The sequence below is a fragment of the Homo sapiens genome, chromosome 15, assembly GCF_000001405.40.
Source record: "Homo sapiens chromosome 15, GRCh38.p14 Primary Assembly".
Lineage (NCBI taxonomy): Eukaryota > Metazoa > Chordata > Mammalia > Primates > Hominidae > Homo > Homo sapiens.
In genome coordinates, this window is record NC_000015.10 from 100,047,192 (window position 1) to 100,067,039 (window position 19,848).

The 19,848-nt window shown below is 48.5% G+C and overlaps 1 protein-coding gene across 16 annotated transcripts in view; it reads right to left on the minus strand.

The window, feature by feature from the left end:
- ADAMTS17 (ADAM metallopeptidase with thrombospondin type 1 motif 17) overlaps positions 1-19,848 on the minus strand; it is a 370,539-nt gene that overhangs the window by 75,755 nt on the left and 274,936 nt on the right. For 10 of the 16 annotated variants that reach the window (XM_005254872.4, XM_011521312.3, XM_017021975.2 and 7 more), the window contains 4 exons: positions 16,488-16,568; positions 6,706-6,863; positions 4,381-4,540; positions 1,666-1,801 (listed from right to left, as the gene is read on the minus strand). In XM_005254872.4, the coding sequence (XP_005254929.1) occupies positions 1,666-1,801; positions 4,381-4,540; positions 6,706-6,863; positions 16,488-16,568 (535 nt within the window). Of the gene's footprint in view, positions 1-1,665; positions 1,802-4,380; positions 4,541-6,705; positions 16,569-19,848 lie in introns of those variants that run through there. The other 6 variants (NM_139057.4, XR_001751118.2, XR_001751120.2 and 3 more) reach the window with 6 other exon arrangements.

A 19,848-nucleotide genomic window follows, 5' to 3' on the forward strand; every position in this document is an offset into this window, starting at 1 on the left:
TGGTCAGACTGGTTGCTCTCAAACCCTATCTCCTGATAAGACGTTATCAATGACAATGGTGCCCGAAACTTCATTAGCAATTTTTCGCCCCGGTCCTGTGGTCCTGTGATCTCGCCCTGCCTCCATTTGCCTTGTGATATCTTATTACCTTGTGAAGTACGTGATCTCTGTGACCCACACCCTATTCACACACTCCCTCCCCTTTTGAAAATCCCTAATAAAAACTTGCTGGTTTTACGGCTTGGGGGCATCACGGAACCTGCTGACATGTGATGTCTCCCCCGGATGCCCAGCTTTAAAATTTCTCTCTTTTGTACTCTGTCCCTTTATTTCTCAAGCCAGCCGACGCTTAGGGAAAATAGAAAAGAACCTATGTGACTATTGGGGGCAGGTTCCCCAATAAAAACATGCTTCTCGAATGGAGCCCTAAGACCTTTTTGCTCAATCATGCCCTTGAGCTCATGCTGACCTCTCCTCCTCCATCGTCTCTTACCCTATTTTCTAATCACTTCACCAGGGCCAGGCCATCTTTAGTTTCCAGAGAAGAGGCTGTAGCCTGTTAGACTGCTGAGTCTTTACAGTGGCAAATCCTCCATTCTGTGGCCCCTGAATATGACCTGATGGACTGATCGATAGGTTCGTGGTACAGCTGCTCATACCGAGGTGCTCAAGCAGATTTCCTGCAGTGAGCTCTTCCTCCAGGCCTTCAGCATTAGGGTGGAATTTCATTCTTAATTTGGCAAGGAGCACAGAAAATCATCACAGCAAGCCTCACCTTCTTTTTTTCCTTCCTGTCTCCTCTCTTTCTCACTCAAACACATTTTAAGAGTTTGACAAAACAAAGGGGGTCGGTGCAAAAGCCAAATATGTTGTGAAGCTCTTGTACTAGGCAAGCGGCACAAATTGAGTTAAGAAACCTAGAAAATGGAAATACTAAACACCTAGCCTAGTTAGAAAAGGTCAATATGCCTCAAATGATACACAGAACCACAAAGCAAAAACCATTCACCTCAATTCACAGCAGGACGGAAGGCCAAAGGGTGACATGCCACAACGTAATGGATTCATTATTAAAGTCCCGCTAAAATGACTCAAAAAGAGGAGGCTTAGCTGATGAACGCATTTCACACAATTCATCTCCTGACAACCCAAGAGAGTCCACAAGGGTAACACGGCCATGAAAGCTGGGGCTGGGACAGAAGTTCTGATGGATCCCGAAGAATAAACACCAAGATCCACACTCACTGGCATGAATTTCAGCCACTGAAACAGGTCACCCACAACATTAGCCTGTGTGCACCTTTCTCCTGGGCACTCAGACTCCAATATTTGTTTCCTTCTCCACCAAGACAAAGTAATTTGGGGAAGCCAATGGTTAAAAGTGTGTGGTGATGGCCATTTTTTTTTTTTTTTTTTTTTTTTTTGCCATGAGATGTTACTAATGGTCTCCTACACAATGCCTTCCAGTGAAGGTTGTATTTCCATCAGAGTCCTGGCTTAGTAGCTGGAAATTTGGTAATTTGAGCAAGCGGAAATCTCTCATCAACAATAACGGAACACAGCATAGAGCAGTACTGTGGCATTAACTGCATATCACTCCCCACCACTGATGGTGCTGCCGCCCCAGACTCTGGTGGGTCCAAGCTACAGAACCCAGCTTCTTACCGTGACTGGCAGGGGTGCAAGTTGCACCTTCGGACCTGGGGCTCTGGGCGGCTTGCTTGAGGGCAGTCACTGTCGTTCACCAGAGTTGTGGTCTTGTTGACAATCCGTGTACACGAGACGATGGTTCTGCGCTCCCCTGGAAACCAAACCACAGGGAGCTGAGAGACTGTGGCTGCACCCACGTGGAAAGGCTGGGCTTGCATGCCCATGAAAGCATGTTTGGGTGCTGCTGATGGTCACTTGGTCATTTAAAGTGACTGCTGTAAATGTCATGTGGGTTTTTAGAGAGGAAGAACTATAATCGTAGGGAGGAGAGTACAAGACACAGAAGGCAGAGTGGGGCCCTGGAAGATTCTAGAACAAGATAAGAAAGCAGCAACACCTCAGATCAGCGGTGTCCTTGGACAGCTTGGGGTTCGTTGATTTGGGCCTTTGATTTCCAAAGATTGCTCATCTTTTTATCTGCTTGTTTGATGTTTAAAGTCTATGGAGATCTGATCTCAATTAAAGACCTGCACATCAGCCCTCAGCAGAGTCTGGCTACCTATTACAGAATTCCTGCTTGCTGGGGAGAAGTGGGAGATGAGGAGTCTGGTCTGGAAGACACACAGACCTGCATCCTCTAGACAGGCATTCCAGAGCCATTCTGACTTGTCTAGCCAGCCAGCTGGTACTTATGGCTGAGCCCCCACCTGCTCTTGGGAAGCTTTGCTAATTCATTATCCCAAATAGATGTAGCCCTTCTTATAGGTGTTCCCAGAGCACCCTAAACACTGCACGGCCATGCCTTTGTCACCCTAAATACTGCACGGCCATGCCTTTGTCAGGCAGGCTGAGTGACTGGGAGTTAGGAGGGTGGCCCTTGGAGCCAGGCTGTCTGGGTTCAAGTCTTGGCTGTATCACAAATAGCATCACAGTGGCCATAGTGTCAACAGTTGGCCACCATACTTCTGTGTCTCAGTTTCCTCAAGCAGCCTGGTTTGCTTAACTTCCCTGTGCCTCAGGGTGCCTCAGTGATGATTAAAATAAACAAATATATATGGTGTCCATAGAACAGAACCTGGCAGGTGGCTAACACTTCATCTTAGCTCTATTGCTGTCATTATTATTATTTGGGAAGAGTGACAATAAAAGATTAATAGGGAGTCAAGCACAACTATTTGGATCCTGGGCTCCCTGCTGGGTCTGTGTCCTGGGCAATTTGTCATGTAGGGATGACTCGAAATCATGGAGACCTGAACTCCACTGCCAGTTGCTGCTGCCCCACATGGCAGCCTCGCATGAGTACAGAAAGCACGGAACTGCTTTCAGCTTTGGTGGCAGGTCTGACCACTGTGTTAGGAAGCTGGAAGTCATCAGTGTCATAAAAGGATTGCCACCAAGCCAACAGCAACAGAACAGCCTGCCCCTGACCCCAGGAGAGCCTGACTATTCCATGTGGGCTATGCTTAGTTTGTAACAAGCTGCCCAAGAGGAAAACCTGGCTGGAATCAGAGGTAGATGTGTCAGCTGGATTTGGAGGTTGAAAGGCCATCGGCACAAGCGGCAGCTAAGGGCTGAGGGGGAGAAGGCCCCCCGGGGAGAGGTGCAGAGTGGAGGATGCAGGGCTGATGGTGGTATCCGGAGGCTATGCCAACTGCCGCAGGGCTGTTGCAGGAATAGGCTAAGCACAGACAGTGAGGGTGGTTGGCCAAGATGCCCAGGAAGAAACTCCTGTGTGTCTATAACTCCTACCCATGAAAAATGGGATGAATCCCTTAAATGGTAAGCAATGCTTTACATATTGGACATCTAACAAAAGTTATCCAAGCAGTCAATAGGTGCTCAGGACTAGGGATGGCGGGGGCTATGCCCGGGGTTCCACTCCATTATCCAACTCTCTGGGTTGGCCTACCAGAGTCCAGGTCAACCTTCTGTCCCAACTCTTTGTCCACTAAAATCCACCCACCCTGTGTTCCATCTCCCATGACCCTTCTATGTGCCCTGCTAGGGTGACAAACAGCACTGTACTAAGAAACTGCTGGCTCAGAGTTCAGAATGGCTTCCTATTGCCCCCTCTCAATGACACAACAATAAACACAATGCCTTTTGGTCATATTGATTCTTGCTGTACGACAGGCTCTTTGGCTCACCCTGTGGACCCTGCAGTGTGCATGAGAGACAACCATCCTATTTCAGAAGTGAAGAAACATGGGGTAGAGAGAGGAAGTCATTTGCTGAGGTCAAGCAGGAAGTTGTGCAGTCAGGACTCATGCTCAGAACGTTTCACCCGACTTGCAGGACTTTTTCTTTCCATTGTATCCTGGAGTGAGGTGACTGTGGCCAAGAGGGAAGGGAATTTGGGAGCGGGCAGAGACATGCTCTGGTGCCCCTCCAGCAAGCAGCAGCAGTTGAAGGTCTATTCTGTTTATTCCCAGGGTCCACCTGTCACACCCGAGATGTAATCATACATCAGCCAAACCCCGCTTCACCCATAGGTCAGAGCTGTGGGGCCCTGGGCCCCAGGCAAAGCAGAGGTATGGGCATGACCCTAGTGTGGGAGTTGGGAAGACTCTGTCCAAGTATTCTGCAGAGAGATTTTCGGTGGGATATGGTTAAATTCCCATGGAGCTACAGGTTGCAGATGTCTCACACTCTGCGTGCTGGCCACAGATGCCTTTCTCCTTCCTTCAGCAAAACCCCACACCCAACAGGTCATGGACCACGGCCACTCACCTCCGCCGCACTGCACACTGCACCCTTCCCAGCCGCTGTGGGTCCAGATGAACAAAGAGTCCTGCGGTTTTTCTGGTTCGCTTTGATTTTCCGCAGTGCGGTTTACAGGAACAGTGTATTCATAATGAATTCCATAATCTTGGTCGTGAAATAACAACACCTGGATCAGCCGCAAAACAAAAGGCCATTTTGAAAAGGAAGGAAGGCCCGTGGGAATGCCGAATCTGCACACACAGGCACACTGCGGCTGTTTCTTTATGAGGGGTAACCAGCTCTTTTCTGGGGCTGAAAACAGGTTCCACTGAGGGTGCTCCTTTATCTCAGCCCTGGATTCCTCAGGGACTCAACTGAGGAGTGGGGTGAATGCAAACCATCGTGAGGGAGTTCTGTTCTTTCCTACCCAAGAGAGAGACCAGCTTAGACTAGGAGCTTTAGGATAAGTGACTCTGAAACCTCTCACTGCACTTTTGATGGAGAGCTGCGTCACGCAGAGAACAGTCCACATTCCTGCATGCTCACCCACAAAGCTGCCCTTGCAGACAGGAAAGACACAGATAAACTTTTACCTAGAAAGGCATCAGAGCAATTGGGGTGACTCTATTTCTTTGGAAATGAACATCTTCCTTCACTCCCCATCATCAATCACTGCTGTGTCAGTTGGTCCAGAGTCAGGAGTAAGGCAAGCTCAAGGGCAAAATGCAGCTCACTGGTGATACTGATTCTGCAAACAATGTGTACACCCCAGTTTGGGGACCATGGCTTTCTATATAGAGGCAAAGGGGCACCTCTCATTTTCAGTTTTAAAATCTTGAAGTGACAATCACATTTTGAAAGAAAAGCCATCAATATTAAGCGAGGGCTGAAACTTCAGTTACGGTAGTAGTTGCTTTCTCCGAGTTTTGTTCATCCTGGTCTGAATGAATCCAGGCTGGGGACTTCACTTTAACGGGCTAACCACTTGCTCAGTTTACAAAGGCTTTTGGTGAAAAGGGAAATACATTCACATTGGTGTTTGCTAGAGAAAGCAAATTCTCATGCTAACAGGTGAAGTTTCAGTACAGGTTTTATGTTTTGCCTCCTCTCTTAGTCCCTCTGAATAACTGCTTTTAACTCAGAATAGGAGGATTTGTTCTGACTGTGACTAGGGAACAATCTTATCCCAGATAAATGACTTAGGTACACATTCTTGGGTCCCAGAAACCTACTTGCAGGAACGTATTTGCAGTGGACTTAGCGGGCTGAGAGGTGCGCTGGCAGATTTCTACATGGTTTGGTTGCACATGAAAACTGCCTTACCTTTGTCTCCCCAGAAATTTTAACGGGGTTAACACCACTACGGGGCAACGCCCACCCTGGGGGCCAGCGCTCCCCGGCAGAGCCAGCCTCCTCAGGAGATTCCCTGGGCAATGGCTAGAAAATCTTTTGGGTGTCAACTAACCTGGAACACTTACAGGCTGCCAGAGATCACAAATTAACGGGGAAGAAGAACTTCCACGGAGAGACTCTGGCAGGCACTGTGGACAAAGCGTGTTTTGATTACAGGGGCACAAGCTGCCACAAATCCTGTTTTTTGGAAGGAGACCCGGAATCGATAATGATGAGCCATCAGAAGTTAGCCATGAGAACTCCTGGATCTTGAGACGGAAGCAGGGCGCTCCATTCCCTGGAGATCTCTGACATGTTTAAAAGGAGGCATCACTGATGTTTCAGTGGCTTGCATGGAGGCCTCCCTGAGACAACAGGTAAGACGGCGCCCTGGCCTGGCCCAATGGCTCACAGGTTTCTGGAGGTCACCTGGGGAGTAGAATACCCACATCATCTGATCCCCCTCCCTGATTCCCAAATGCTCGTTGCAAGCTGGGTCTGTGAAACCTGAGGGATTCCAGTTCGGACCTGGAGTCATAGTTCATTTCCGAAAGGTAATGATATACACTCTGTGCAGGCAGATCTATGCATCTCACCAACCGATGCAAAAACAGACTTGGAGTGGGGCTGTCTGCTTAATGAGGCCAAGTCTCCCTGGCTGCCATCCACGTGGCTAAGCATTTCCTTCTTTGAGGCAGCTCCTTTTGAAAAAGATAGGAGCTCGGCCAGGGAAGAGCCAGGGGAAGCAATGAGAGAATTCTGAAGCAAGTTGTGCAAGGGACTGGAAAAGAAAGGACCCAGAGAGGGGAGAGGACTGAGCAGCAGGGGACGGCATAAACCCCTGGAAGCCAGATGCATTTCCTGCCCCCGAGGTCCCAGGCAGAAGTAAACTGGAAAGTAACCTAGTAGACCTCTCGGAGCCACACCCCCTAAGACAAGTGTGGAAGCCCAGCAAGTTACCATCAAGTGCAGCGGTAGTTTGGTTGGTCCCTTGGCAGAGATCTTCTCCCACAGCCCCCTTCTCACATAGCGAACAGTTGTGCCTGCAATCTGGAACTCTCCGGGGAGCTCTATCTTCCAGTCACTGTTGATGGACCCCTTACCCGAGTCTTTGAGAGCTAGAAAGCAAGTTGAAGACCAAAGAATCAAGGGGCTGGGGGTAGGGGGATCCAGCCTGTCTTTAAACGGAATCTACAGCCCCTGAGTGGGGCAGAGGTCTCCCTTCCACAGGGGGAAGGAGGGAGGCCTGAAGCGAGAGAAGGCGAGTGCTCTGTATACTGAGAACAAAAGCCTGGATCGCAGGGAGCACGGAGATGCAGACCCCTAGGATCCCCAGGGAGAGCTGTGGGATTGATGGGCACCTTTCAGCCTGGGCTTCTGTCTCAAAACCAACTCAGATAGCTGGGGTTAGGGGTGGAGGGGCAGGGAATGGAGAAGACCATGGTCTGATATCATTTCACTAAACTTATCCAGCAGATGGTTTTCTGCCTGATGAATTCATTCCATTTTAATGTGTCCCAGGCTACAAACCAGGTTTTGCTGCTTTAGCAAAACTCATCAGTTCCCTTTCCTATTACCTACCTGGGGTTCCAGAAGGAGAAGAGCCCATCTCCAGCACCTCTTAAGGATCTGATATCCCCCCATTACTAAAGTGGACGTCCCTTCAATCAATAACCATTACTCTGTTAAGTATGAAGGTTTGGAAACCCTAGCCACCCACAGATGTGGTGGTCACACTTGGCAGCTGTGGACGAGCAGTGGTTGGGGGCTGAGCGTAGCAGGGGAGAGGCACTCTCACACCCTAGCTCTGTGGGCTTCAGGTTCTCACGTTTGCTCACCCACATCTCTACCAGGGACAGCCTGTGCCAGGAGGGGCTGAGAATCAACATGCTGCTGACGGGCCATAAGCAGAAACTTGGTTTTCCACACAAGCCATGTATTTACTATTTTCTGAGTCGCTCACCAGGATTTTTCTTGTGTCTTCCCACTTCGGGGTGAAGATCATGTGGTTCTCATGAGGACAGCACTCTGCAGTGACATCCTATTTTGTTGCTGCTGTTATTTAGGGAAAAAAAAATCCCAACAACTAAAACCTATTCTGGCATTTTAGGAGAAGTCGGCAGATGACAAGAGGTGACAGTAAGTCTGTCATTTCCCAAAATGGGAACTCCAGGGCACCCTCAGTCCTATGCCCACACTCCCTGTACACACAACTGGAGCCCCAAGGACACCCCAAACTGATCTACATATATCTCATTGGGACCCTACTCAGTCCATATCAATGAAATCAGATTCTACTGCATTGACTGTTCTCTGCTTACTGAGGCCAGAAATAAAATGCCCACATTTAATACTGATTTTGGAAAATGAGAGTTGAAACCCAAAAGGGGTTTTGGTTACTGCTGAATTCATCAGCCCCAGGCTGGAGCAGGCCACAAGCAACAGAGGGTCGCTGGGTAGTCACTGGCCTCAGTTCTTGTCTCCAGGACATTATGGTCCCACTGCTCGCTCCCGGCAAACACACAGACGCAGGCTCAGGGCTTCTCGTGTTAGAGGGACTGCCAAGAGAAACAGGTTCCTCGCTTCTAGGAACTTTCCAGCAGAGTGGCTTCCAGTGGGGTCTCGTATCCAGGGTGGCTATGAGAGGCTGAGGATTATAGGACTCCAGGGACAGCTTAGGAAAGAGAAAGCCCTGCCACTTGGAGCCGAATCTGTTTCCCTTCAAGAAATCCAACCCACAACTGAACTGTCCTGGCTATGAAAAGGAGGTGAGAATGTTGGGACACCCACAGTTTCCTCTCCTTTTTCTCTTCTTCTGCCACCATCTGCAAACTGCCATTTAAGGTGCATATTCTCTAGGTTGGCTCTTTCATATACTCTGACCCATTTAATCTTCTCAACAACCCTCTGAATTATTGTCATCACTTCATGGGTGAGGCAATGGGGGCAGAGAGAAGTACCTTGCCCAAAATCACAAAGCTATTCAGTTGTAGAGTGGAGACCTGAATCCAACAGACCAACCCTACTGCACTTATCACTCTGACAACTTTCAATTCCCATTTCTTTAGCATCAGTCTAGATTTTATGACTAATGCTGAAATGTGCAAAGGTAAGGCCTGTTTTCAAAAAGGACAAATTCTACGCTCTGTTACAGGGTTTCATATTCTATATACCCTTACAACAGTGACTGATTTCACGGATTTCCAATGCTTCTAGTGAGCTAATAATGCAAATACATACTTGGTTATATTAACTATAGGCAAATATAGGCAAAGGGTGCATGGACGTTCATCATTCTTTCAAGCTTTCTGCAGGTTTAGAAAATTGTCTCTTGCATATGCATGTGTCTATTTGGTTTTAGGATCCAGTGTGGGCTGGTGGGAAGGAGCAGATAGAAAAAACCAAGGGGCCAGAGTCCTTTAAGACAGCAGTCCCCAGGACTGCTTTTTGGGACTAGGGACTGGTTTCGTGGAAGGCAATTTTTCCACAGACCAGGGGGTTGGGGGAAGTGGGGTGGCGGGGGATGGTTTTGGGATGAAACTTTCCACCTCAGATCATCAGCCATTAGATTCTCATAAGGCATGCACAACCCAGATCCCTTGCACGTGCCATTCACAATAGGGTTTGCGCTCCTATGAGAATCTAATGTCCCACTTCTGATCTGACAGGAGGCGCAGCTCAGGCGGTCATGCTCGCTCGCAGGGCACTCACCTGCTGCTGTGCAGCCTGGTTCCTAACAGACCATGGACTACTGCTGGTCCGCAACCTGGGGTCTGGGGACTTCTGCTTGAAGAAACACCTCAGAAAGCATAAGTTGGGGGAACAGCAGATGTACCCTGCCATTCCCTCAGCCTATTTTGAGGGCCTCCTCACTGCTGGCTAAAGACAGACACAGCTCTTGCTCCCAGGGAGCTCACAGTTTGGAAGGGAGAGAGAGAAAAGATGAACACAACACAATTTCACAAGCTTTATGGTAAGGTGCCTCCGGGGCCTGGGAATGTTGTGGGACGGGGCAGATGGGGAAGGCTTCCTGGGATAAGCCCGCTTTCAGCTGAGCGTGTAAGACAGGGAGAGGAGACAACGCCACCCGCAGTGTGTGGCTCAGTGGTGTGTGGCTGCCTGCAGTGTGTGAGGCAGGACGGTCATTCCTGATCCTCAGAGGCCAGGACTGCTAAGATCAGTTCTGGGCGGGGTGATGGAGGGAGGAAGGCACAGCACCCCATATGGAGAAGCAAGTGGAAGGTAAAGTTTTTTCCACTTTTCAGAGGTTTGGCTGGGAAAAGGAGGCAAGAGAGGGAGAGTGGCCTCAGAGGGTGGGAAGAAGGAAGGGGCTCACTGTGAGGATAGAGGACACCCAGGCATGCTGAGGTGCCCTGTACAAAGGAGACAGAGATGAGCAAATGATTTCTTTGAAGCTGTGTGCTGACCACAGCCACACCAGGGCCTGCTCCGTAGAACCCATTTCTCTCACAAAGACCAGAGGGAAGCCAGGCAGCTGCTCTCCTCCTTGCTGGGCCACCAGCACGGACCGGCTGAGTCCCATATCCACACCCTGCCAGTGACAGACTCCAACACGGGCTGCCCTGAGCTGGGGCCCCAGGCTCGTCCCTGGTTTGTTGCTTCTGTGAACACCCACTGTGCCCATGACACGGCATCTGTTTCTCCCTTTAAGCAATGGTACCCAGGGTTTCTCCTGGGAACATGTTTTCCCTCCCGTCACGTGGGATTGAACCCCACAGTTCCAGGCACAGGCCCATCACCCAACCCCAAACAGGGGGACTTTTGTTCACCTTAGGAAAAGGCAGCTTTCTTCCCACAGGGTTTCCCAGAGACTGGATGTGAGCCTGGATCTACCAGCCCACAGGAAGATGTCCACAGAGAGGACAGGCAGGAGTGCCAGTGCGGAGAGAAACCGTTTCTCCTGTGACATCATTTTAAGCCCCTGGATCCAGCAGTGCCTGAAGCTGGTGCTCAGCAACTGAGAGCTGGGTTTGGCATTCACACATGCTTTTTGGAGGTTGGGTTAAAAAAAAGCTAATCACGATGAGGGCAGAACAGGCGAGGAAAGAAAATTACTATTACAGCTTCCTATAAATAGGCCCCAGATGTTTACCACCCAGCTGAGTACCCCTGAGAGGCAGAAGGCCTGGCACACTCCACCCCTGCCTCAAACTCCCTCCAGGGCCTCTGCCCATATCCCAGCACTAACACCTCTATCCCAGCTCTAACCCTCCTATCCCGGCTCTAACACCCCTATCCCAGCTCCAACACCCCTATTCCGGCTCCAACACTCCTATCCCAGCTCTGACCCTCCTATCCCGGCTCTGACACCCCTATCCCGGCTCTAACCCTCCTATCCCGGCTCTAACACCCCTATCCCGGCTCTAACACCCCTATCCCGGCTCTAACACCCCTATCCCGGCTCTAACCCTCCTATCCCAGCTCTAACACTCCTGAGGAGGTGACTCTTTCTCCACTGGCCTTGTTTATGTATTCCTCGGGCCCTTTTTTTAAAGATGTTTTAAAGTGACTCTGAATGACAACCTACAAACTACCCCACTTCCATGCCAAAAGTAAAACATCTGGGAAGTCAAGAGTGAAAAGGCCCAAAAAAGGGCAGGAGGGCACACCTGGAGACGGTTATAAGACCATCCTCAGAAACGCTGCACAGAGGTGGCGGCTGGCCTGGGGAAGCCCTGCTTCTGCCATCGGAGGCCCGACACTGGGCGGCAGCAGCAGCAGCAACTACAGCACGAGGTGGAGATAGAGCCACTAGGGCCCTGGAGCCTGCCATCCTCTGATCACCGGAGCGGGGTCTTGCTTGTCTGTAGCGGAATGGGTGGGAGAGGTGTCAGGAAGAGGGCTACTGGAGGCCACGGAGGAGTCACTGGGTATGGTCAAGGAATTGTGGGATAGGAAAGCGAAAGAGGCTGCGGCTGACGGACAAACCCAGGCAAGCTCAACTGCTGATGGGAAGGAACATACTGGACAACAGAGTGCTAGCGGCAGCCGGTTCTCTGGGGAAAATAGCCTAGAGTCATGGCGTATTTGCTTCCCAAAGTGTAAATACCCTCACCATGACAGATTTTGCTATCCACCTGGCATCAGTGAACAAGGAGTGGGGAAGAGATGCCTCTAATTGGCTCTCACAAGCCACACACAGCTGTGGGGGCACTCCAACGAATTCTGAAGATGCTTGTCTTTGCTTTGGAGGTCCTGGTCTGGAGCCGATGAGTTGGAGAACTCCTGCACAATCACAACTTGTTTGAGGCCAGGCGTGGGTTTGGGGTCAGCTCTCACAGCCCCAGAAAGAATACACTTGGCATGCCCACGCACTGCCTGTGGCCATCGCCGCAGTGGCTGCAAGTTCTGGCGCACTGCAAATGCAGCTTTCCAGCTCAGAGCCTGCACGCCTCTCCTCGGGACAGCGTGCTCCTAGCCACGCATTTGTGTATCTCCCGGGGAGAGGAAAACACAGGCAGAGTTATTAGCAGGAGGTCAGCAGAGCCAGGAGGCATAGGGGTTACTTCCAACCTTTTCACTTTGGTGTCACTTAGCAAGATTCCAAATTTGCAATTTGCCGTGGTCCATCTGAAAAATCATAACTTCCTGCTAAAATCAGAAGTTCGCGCCTGACATCCCTCAAAAGAGATGTCAGCCTCAGAGATTCCTTTGGGACGTCAAGATCATTTTTAACAGTGAATAAATAGGTTCATTGTGGAGTCCCAAGAACAATGACTTCATGGGGCCATGTCAAATCCAGAGAGACAATGCAGGTCACCTCCTGGCCCCTTCTGTGGCAGCTTGGGTTGCTCTCCTGCCTTGCGTTAGCTGCAGAGTGGGGTCTGCAAAGGCCTATGAGGCCCATGAGGCTGCAGCTCCAGGCACCTCTGGAGGAGTCCTTTCCACAGCCCTATGCATAATGTATTTTTTTTCCTGAAAGACAACCTTCCAAATTAAATACATTTTGGGCTCTACAAGTTCCTGTCCCCTCAAACCTTGGGCATCAGTGAGTATCTCCAAGCCCCCTTTGTCTCTAAGTATTTTGAGATTAATTAGTGTGCACTTGAAATCAGGATATTGTTGGACCCAGAAAGCACTCCATGGGGCAATTAAAATGATTACGAATGCTTTGATTTTATGGGCAATTAACAGAGTGAAGAACAGGGGACTCCCCCAGTGATTTGATTTTATCTGTGAATTCTGAAGCTCTGGTTTGCTGGGGAGATTTTCCCTTGCTCATTTCGCCTGGGCCAGAGATTGGAAGTCTTAAATCACTACCCAAAACATAACTATGCTCACTTTTGTGGGTTTTGCTCAGAAGCTCTCAACAGTTAGACTTCTGTGGGGCACCACACGGGTGGGTACACTTTCCTTTGCCACCAGGGCAGAACAAAACCTTTGCAATGAGCTGGAGTGTGAGGTTACATGCAGAACGTCCATTTCGGTCTCTGGCCCTTCTTCCTCTCTGTGGACACTTACACACCATCCTGGTCTTCCAGGCACTGTGGGAAAGACCATGAGCCATTCCAGGGAGCGAGGTGGGGGCATTCCTGAGGGAAGGGCACTGCTCCTTTTCAGAGCTGGCTGGAGGCAGATGCGAGCTCTGACCCTGTCCACATGCCCCTCTCTGGCATGGAGCTGCACAGAAGCCCGAGTGGGGTTCTTTTAGTCTCTCTCCGTCCTAGCTTCACTGGAAGACCTGACCCACAGTCAACCTACTTCTAAACCTGGCAGCAAGTCAGCTCCTTTTATTTCCACTCGGAGTTCTGCCAGCTCTGTTCTTAGCTATGGATACAAACTGCCCAGGCATTTCCTGTTCCAGGTGGTTTTGAGCAGAAAGCCAGCCAGCGTGGGCTGAAGGTAGGTGGGGTGAAATTCTTCAGGAATTGCTCCCAGCAAATGTGAGAGTAATTCAAAGTAATTCAAAGTTACACTGGGTTGACTTCCAAAGCACCCAGCCCCGAGTGGAGACAAGGCCTTTTTGAACTAACTTTAGAAACATAATGAGTGTGGACCACCTTCAGGCTTGCCCGAATCCATCAGCCAGGCCCTGGAGTCCTGGGATTATGCCTTCTGGGTAAGATAAGGCAGGAAGCCGGCTCCAACCTCCCACGGAGGCCCACTGCTTCTGGAGAGCTGAGCAGTCACCCCAAGACGTTAAACCAATCTCCGTGGGATGCAGGTTTGTTCCGAAGTGCATACAACGTAGTGGCAACAACAGGCAGGTTTAACTTGTGTTCTCCAATGAAAAGTCTCCATCCGGCAGTCTCTGGCCATGATTGGACAGAGTAATTCTGAGAGGCTCCATGAACGGCAGCGAAATCAGAGGAGGTGGAGACCCTGGATGAGACACCAAGCCCCCTGAAGCTTCAGCTTGCCCCTCTAAGAAGGAAGCAGAGCAAGACCTTGCAGCCCATTTAGGGAGATTAGGGATCGGCTCTCCAAGGCACAGCCGAGCTCCGTGACTGGGAGCCACTATCGCGGATGCTATTGTTCTTTTTTTGTATACATGGCCCTCAGGCTTCAGGAGCTGAGGGACGATCACAAGAGCTGGTTCTCCTGGGTGGCACCTGCTAGTTAGCACCTGTTGGCCTTAAAGTGAATGTGAGTGAAAGGTCCATTTGTGCCACAGGAATGGGAAGTTGAGGAGTGATCCAAAGGATTCTAACATCCTCTGTCATTCTAAAATTACCATGCAAAAGTGGAGATTAGGAAGACACTCCTATCGCCAGACACTCAGGGCTGAGCCAGGCGGAGCAGCCATGCTGGGAAATCTCAGAAGCCGGGGTCGGAAGCCAAGGGACTTACTCGCAGGGACACCTTCTGGGCTTGATGGAAGAACCACTACTTCGACCTCCAAACTGAGTACCTCTTGGAATACCCAGACTGCGAATTTTGAATTAGGATGAAAGGTAACATCAGCATCCCACGGAGGGCCTCCAGTACATTCAAATGCATGGGTTGGGAAGGGGAAGGGTAACTTTTTGGCATGATACCAGCTGGTGGGGCTTCCAATGCAAATGCTGGTGAGGTTGACCCAATGTCCTTTGATGGGCAGGAGAGGGAGTGGGCTCTTTGCGAATTTAGTAAAAAGAGGCTGTCACTTTGAAGCTGCCAAAAGCAGCAAGAGGCCTTGTTTTAGAATGCATTTTTAAGTGTTGTTCTATTTGCAGAGTGACAGCTGGGACAGCTGAGGAGGAGAGTGCCAGGCGAGGCAGGGACACTGTCCATGCAGGGGAGGTGAAAAACCATGGGGCTGATGAAAATGCACATGGATGTCAACTCCAGGGATGTCAAGGTCTTACCCTGGCAGCAGAAGCACGAGCGGCCGTCACAGCCTCAAGGAGGCAGGGTGGATGGCAGGTGACCAAGCTAGGAGGAGGTGGCAGGGCAGCTTGGGACAGGGGGGGATCCACAGAGTGTGGTGCCAGTGATACCCCACGTGGGTGCTTGGAAATGGGCATGCCTGCCTTCCCCAAGGCAGGTGTGCGAGGAGCATCTTAGCGTCAAAGCATTTCCTAACTCTTCAACAGGACTGTGGTCTTCATTGTAAACTTGCCTATTAGAGATTTGTTTTGTGTCTGTCTCATTAGACTTTGAGTCTCTCAAGCAGAGACCATTTCAAAGAAAGACTCCGACTTTTGCATAGTCTATAAAGGCAGGAATGTAGACAAAGATGTCATTTTAAAAAATCAGTGATAAAAATGGAAATAAAAGGGTTTCATGGGTAACTTCGATTTAGCTAAAATCATTTTTGAAACTAGACAAATCATGTCTTACTTTTTCTTTCTTCAGTCTCAATCAGCACTTTGCAACACAGGCTGAGAGATGATGACATGAAAACAGCTCAGAAGAGGGGTGCCTGAGGAAGATCAGCCACCTTGAGTTTAAGTTTAACCCAAGACAGGAACATGGGATTAAAGCTGGCAGAAGGGCAGGGGCCACAGCATGTTCCAAGCCAGGAAGGTAGGAGCAGAGGCACCCTCTGGGCACCCTGCTGTCTCCACTTCTGTGTCCAACTGAGAACTCCAACCACCTTGGGGCTCAAGTCCTGGGCTGACCTTTGCTGGGGTCGTCTGGGAATTGGGCCAAGGATACCCTCAGAAGGTCTTCTCTGGCTAGGAAGGGATTTATCAGAATGGCTTTGCTCCTGCATAGTTAGGAAAACTAGTCCAGAATAGAACCCAAGTCTACGGAAAGATGCAGGTGTTTGTGCTTGAAGTCAATGGAGCTGGCCACTAGGAATTTGGGATACACAGACCTTAGTGAAATTGGTATCCTTCTGGGTTTCCATTAGACTTAAGATTGTTGTTCTTTTTCCAGCTAAGAAGTCATCCCCAGAGCCACTGGCAGCCCAATGGGGCTTCCTGCAAGTTGGCCAATGGCCTGCACTGCTCAGACTCAAGCTGCTCTCAGCTCTCCTGGGGTTACTTTGGGGGACTGGTAACCTGCCCCAATTCCTCACAACTTCCTTCACTCTTCTATGATCCTCCTTCCTGTCCCAAGCTTGTCTTCCATCATTTTCCTTCCTGTTCCCGCCCCTAATCCACCATGGGGGTGGCTGCATGTTAGTCAAATATGACAGCACTGTGTGGTCCCCTCTGGGTGCTCATGTCATTACAACACAGGCGTGAAACCAGCCATAACCCGGGAGGAATGACACTGAACCAATTTACCAGACTGATCATCAAAATCGATTCTCAACACATAAATGGTGAGTCAAGTCATTTGTGTTTTACCCAGAAAGCTGTGGGCAGGTTTATCCTCCACCACACGGATCCTCCGAGCTCCAGCAGGAATGACGGCAGCTTCGATATAACCTGTAGCAACAAACGACACAGAAGTAAACCACACCTCCACCCTGCACCAGAGGCCGTGCAGCATCCCCCGGCCAAAATCTAGCTACCAAGCCCCCCACAGTGGCTTCAGAAATGGAGGGCTGGCGCAGAAGAAGGAGGCTCTCCTAAGGCCAGGACCTCCCAGTGGCCCCATTTCCAGAGAGCAGGATTTGCACGTGTTTCAGGTTGAGTGGTGTCCCCCTCCTCCAAATTCGTATGTTGAAGTTCTAACTGGGCCCCCCCTTCAACCAGAACATCAGCATGTGACCACTGCAGACATATTAAGATGAGGTCATCCTGGAGTAGGTAGGCCTAATCCAAAATGACTGATGTCCTTATAAAAAGGGGAAGTTTGGAAACAGACATGCACATAGGGAGAATGTCGCGAGAACATGAAGGCAGAGATGAAGTGATGCTTCTACAAAGCAGCCAAGGAACGCCACAGACTGCCAGCAAACCACCAGAAGTTAGGCAAGAAGCATGGAACAGATCCTCCCTCGTGACCTGCAGAAGGAACCAACCCTGCTGACACCTTGATCTCAGATTTCTCAACTCCAGAACCAAAAGACAGTAAGTTTCTGGTGCTTATGCCACCTAGTTTGCGGCACTTTGTTACGGAAACCATAGCAAAAGAATATAGCCTGGTATTCTGCGAGAATGGCACCTCCCTGGTGCATCAGTGAATAGTGGCCCTGGTCTCATTCATCTGCTGGAGGGCCTTTTGCTCTTTGTTGTATTTTGAACTTTCCCTGAACATCCGTGGGATGACAGCAGAAACCAAGCAATTTACCCTATGACGAAACTACAGTATTGCCTTAACACACGGTGCACCGTTTCTTGCTTCCACCACCTTTGGCCATTTCACTTGTATAGTTTTGTCCATTTCCTTGCATGTTTTTAAGCAGAGTAGGGGGCCAGGACGGCAGGTAGGAAGTGAAGACTCAGGGAAAACATGACGGAAGCTGCCAGGGCAGAAGCTGGCAACTGGCTAATGCCTGGTTAATAGGGTGATTGCCAGTAAGTGAGCCTAACATGACGGTGAGATTCTGAAACGTAGGCTGGTAATAATTTTGGTTTGATTTTTATTTGGGATTTAGACAAGCGTATTAGGCGTTTGTTTCTGCGATTCAGATGAGGATCTCAACTTAGATTACAAATCCTAGCCCTGTTGTTCCCAATGTGATCACCAGAATCATGAGCGGAGCTGTAAAAAATTAGAGATTTCTAGGTTCAACTATGTGGAAATCATGGAAATACCTATTTTGAGGGGTTTATTTATTCATTCATTTTCTCACAATAAAATGGATTTATTTTTATAATAAAAATAGTATACAAAAGTTCAAACAACATACAGCAGAAAACCAGAATTGACCTATACCACATCACAATGAGAAAATTACCCCAAGAAAGTAATATTTTGGTGACCAGCCTTTTCAACACCTCTTAATGCATATAAACATACATATATCATTTTATGTGAAAAGAATATTATATGTACTTTTAAAAGATCAGTGACAACTTCAAAATAATTAGTTTTGCTAGGTAATGTATGTATAAGGTACAAAATTCAAAAATTATAAAAGGATCAAGCAAAAAGTATATTGATCTATAGGCTATATGAGGTGTTCTGTAGCCAGCTACATTTTTAAACTATAATAATTTCTATATTTTGGCTGAGTTTCTATGTAGCTAACTCTACATCTGCTAATATGACAGTTCTGTTTCTTCCTTTCTAGTCTTTATGCCTTTAGTTTCTTCTTTCACTATTCTGGTTGCAATTTACAAAACCACATTGTATGCAAAATGCTATTGCGGCATACTCGTGTAATTCATGATGTCATAGGAGTGCTTCCGAAGTTTTCCCACCGAAAAAGATTGTTACTGTGAGAACAGGATAGGTATCATTAATCTATCAGGTTAGGGACATTCTCTTGTTTAAATTTTACTTTAAGTTCTGGGATACATGTGCTGAATGTGCAGGTTTGTTACATATGTATACATGTGCCATGGTGGTTTGCTGCACCCGTCAACCCATCACCTCGGTTTTAAGCCCTGCATGCATTAGGTATTTGTCCTAATGCTCTCCCTCCCCTTTTCCCCCACCCCTCAACAGGCTGGGGGGTGTATGTGATGTTCCCCTCTCTGTATCCATGAATTCTCATTGTTCAACTCCCACTTATGAGTGAGAACATGCGGTGTTTGGTTTTCTGTTTTTGTGTTAGTTTGCTGAAAATGATGGTTTCCAGCTTCATCCATGTGACTGCAAAGGACATGAACTCATTCTTTTTTATGGCTGCATAGTATTCCATGGTGTACATGTGCCACATTTTCTTTATCCAGTCTATCATTGATGGGCATTTGGGTTGGTTCCAAGTCTTTGCTATTGTAAACAGTGCTGCAATAAACACACGTGGGGACATTCTCTTTTTGAATACTTAGTGTGCTAATAGCTTTTATCATGAAGAGGTATTAAAGTTAATAAAATGTTTTTGTGCATCTACTGAAATCATCATACTGTTTTTCTCCCAAACCATACCAAGAACTCAGAGTTGAACTGTGATCACGCTTGTCAGGGCTTAGATGGCATATGGATACACGTCTTAGATTTTTTTTTTTAAATTATTTCATACATGTGGTGTTTGCTTAGTTTTACATAAACATTTATCATTTTTTTCTCACCATTTCTTCCCCACATCAGACCATTCTTCTGATATCTTTTTTTCTTCCTTAAATCCATGTGAAGGTCCTTTAGTGTAGGTCTCTTGGTTGTTGTAAACTCTCTGGCTTTATCTATAAATGTCTTCATTGACATTCTCTTGGCTTTGAGAAATGGTGTTCTTGGGCATTTGATTCTAAATTGGTTGTTATTGTCCTTTAACACTTGAAATACATTTTTCCACTGTCTTCCCTTATGATACAGAGAAGGCAACCATCCTTCTACGTGTCGTTCCTTTCTAAGTGGCCCATCTGTCTCAGCAGTATTCCTTCAACACTTGAAATACACTTTTCCGCTGTCTTCCCTTATGATATTGAGAGGGCAGCCATCATTCTAAGTGTCCTTCCTTTCTGTCTCAGCAATATTCCTTCAACGCTTGAAATACACTTTTCCGCTGTCTTCCCTTATGATATTGAGAGGGCAGCCATCCTTCTAAGTGTCCTTCCTTTCTGTCTCAGCAATATTCCTTCAACGCTTGAAATACACTTTTCCGCTGTCTTCCCTTATGATATTGAGAGGGCAGCCATCCTTCTAAGTGTCGTTCCT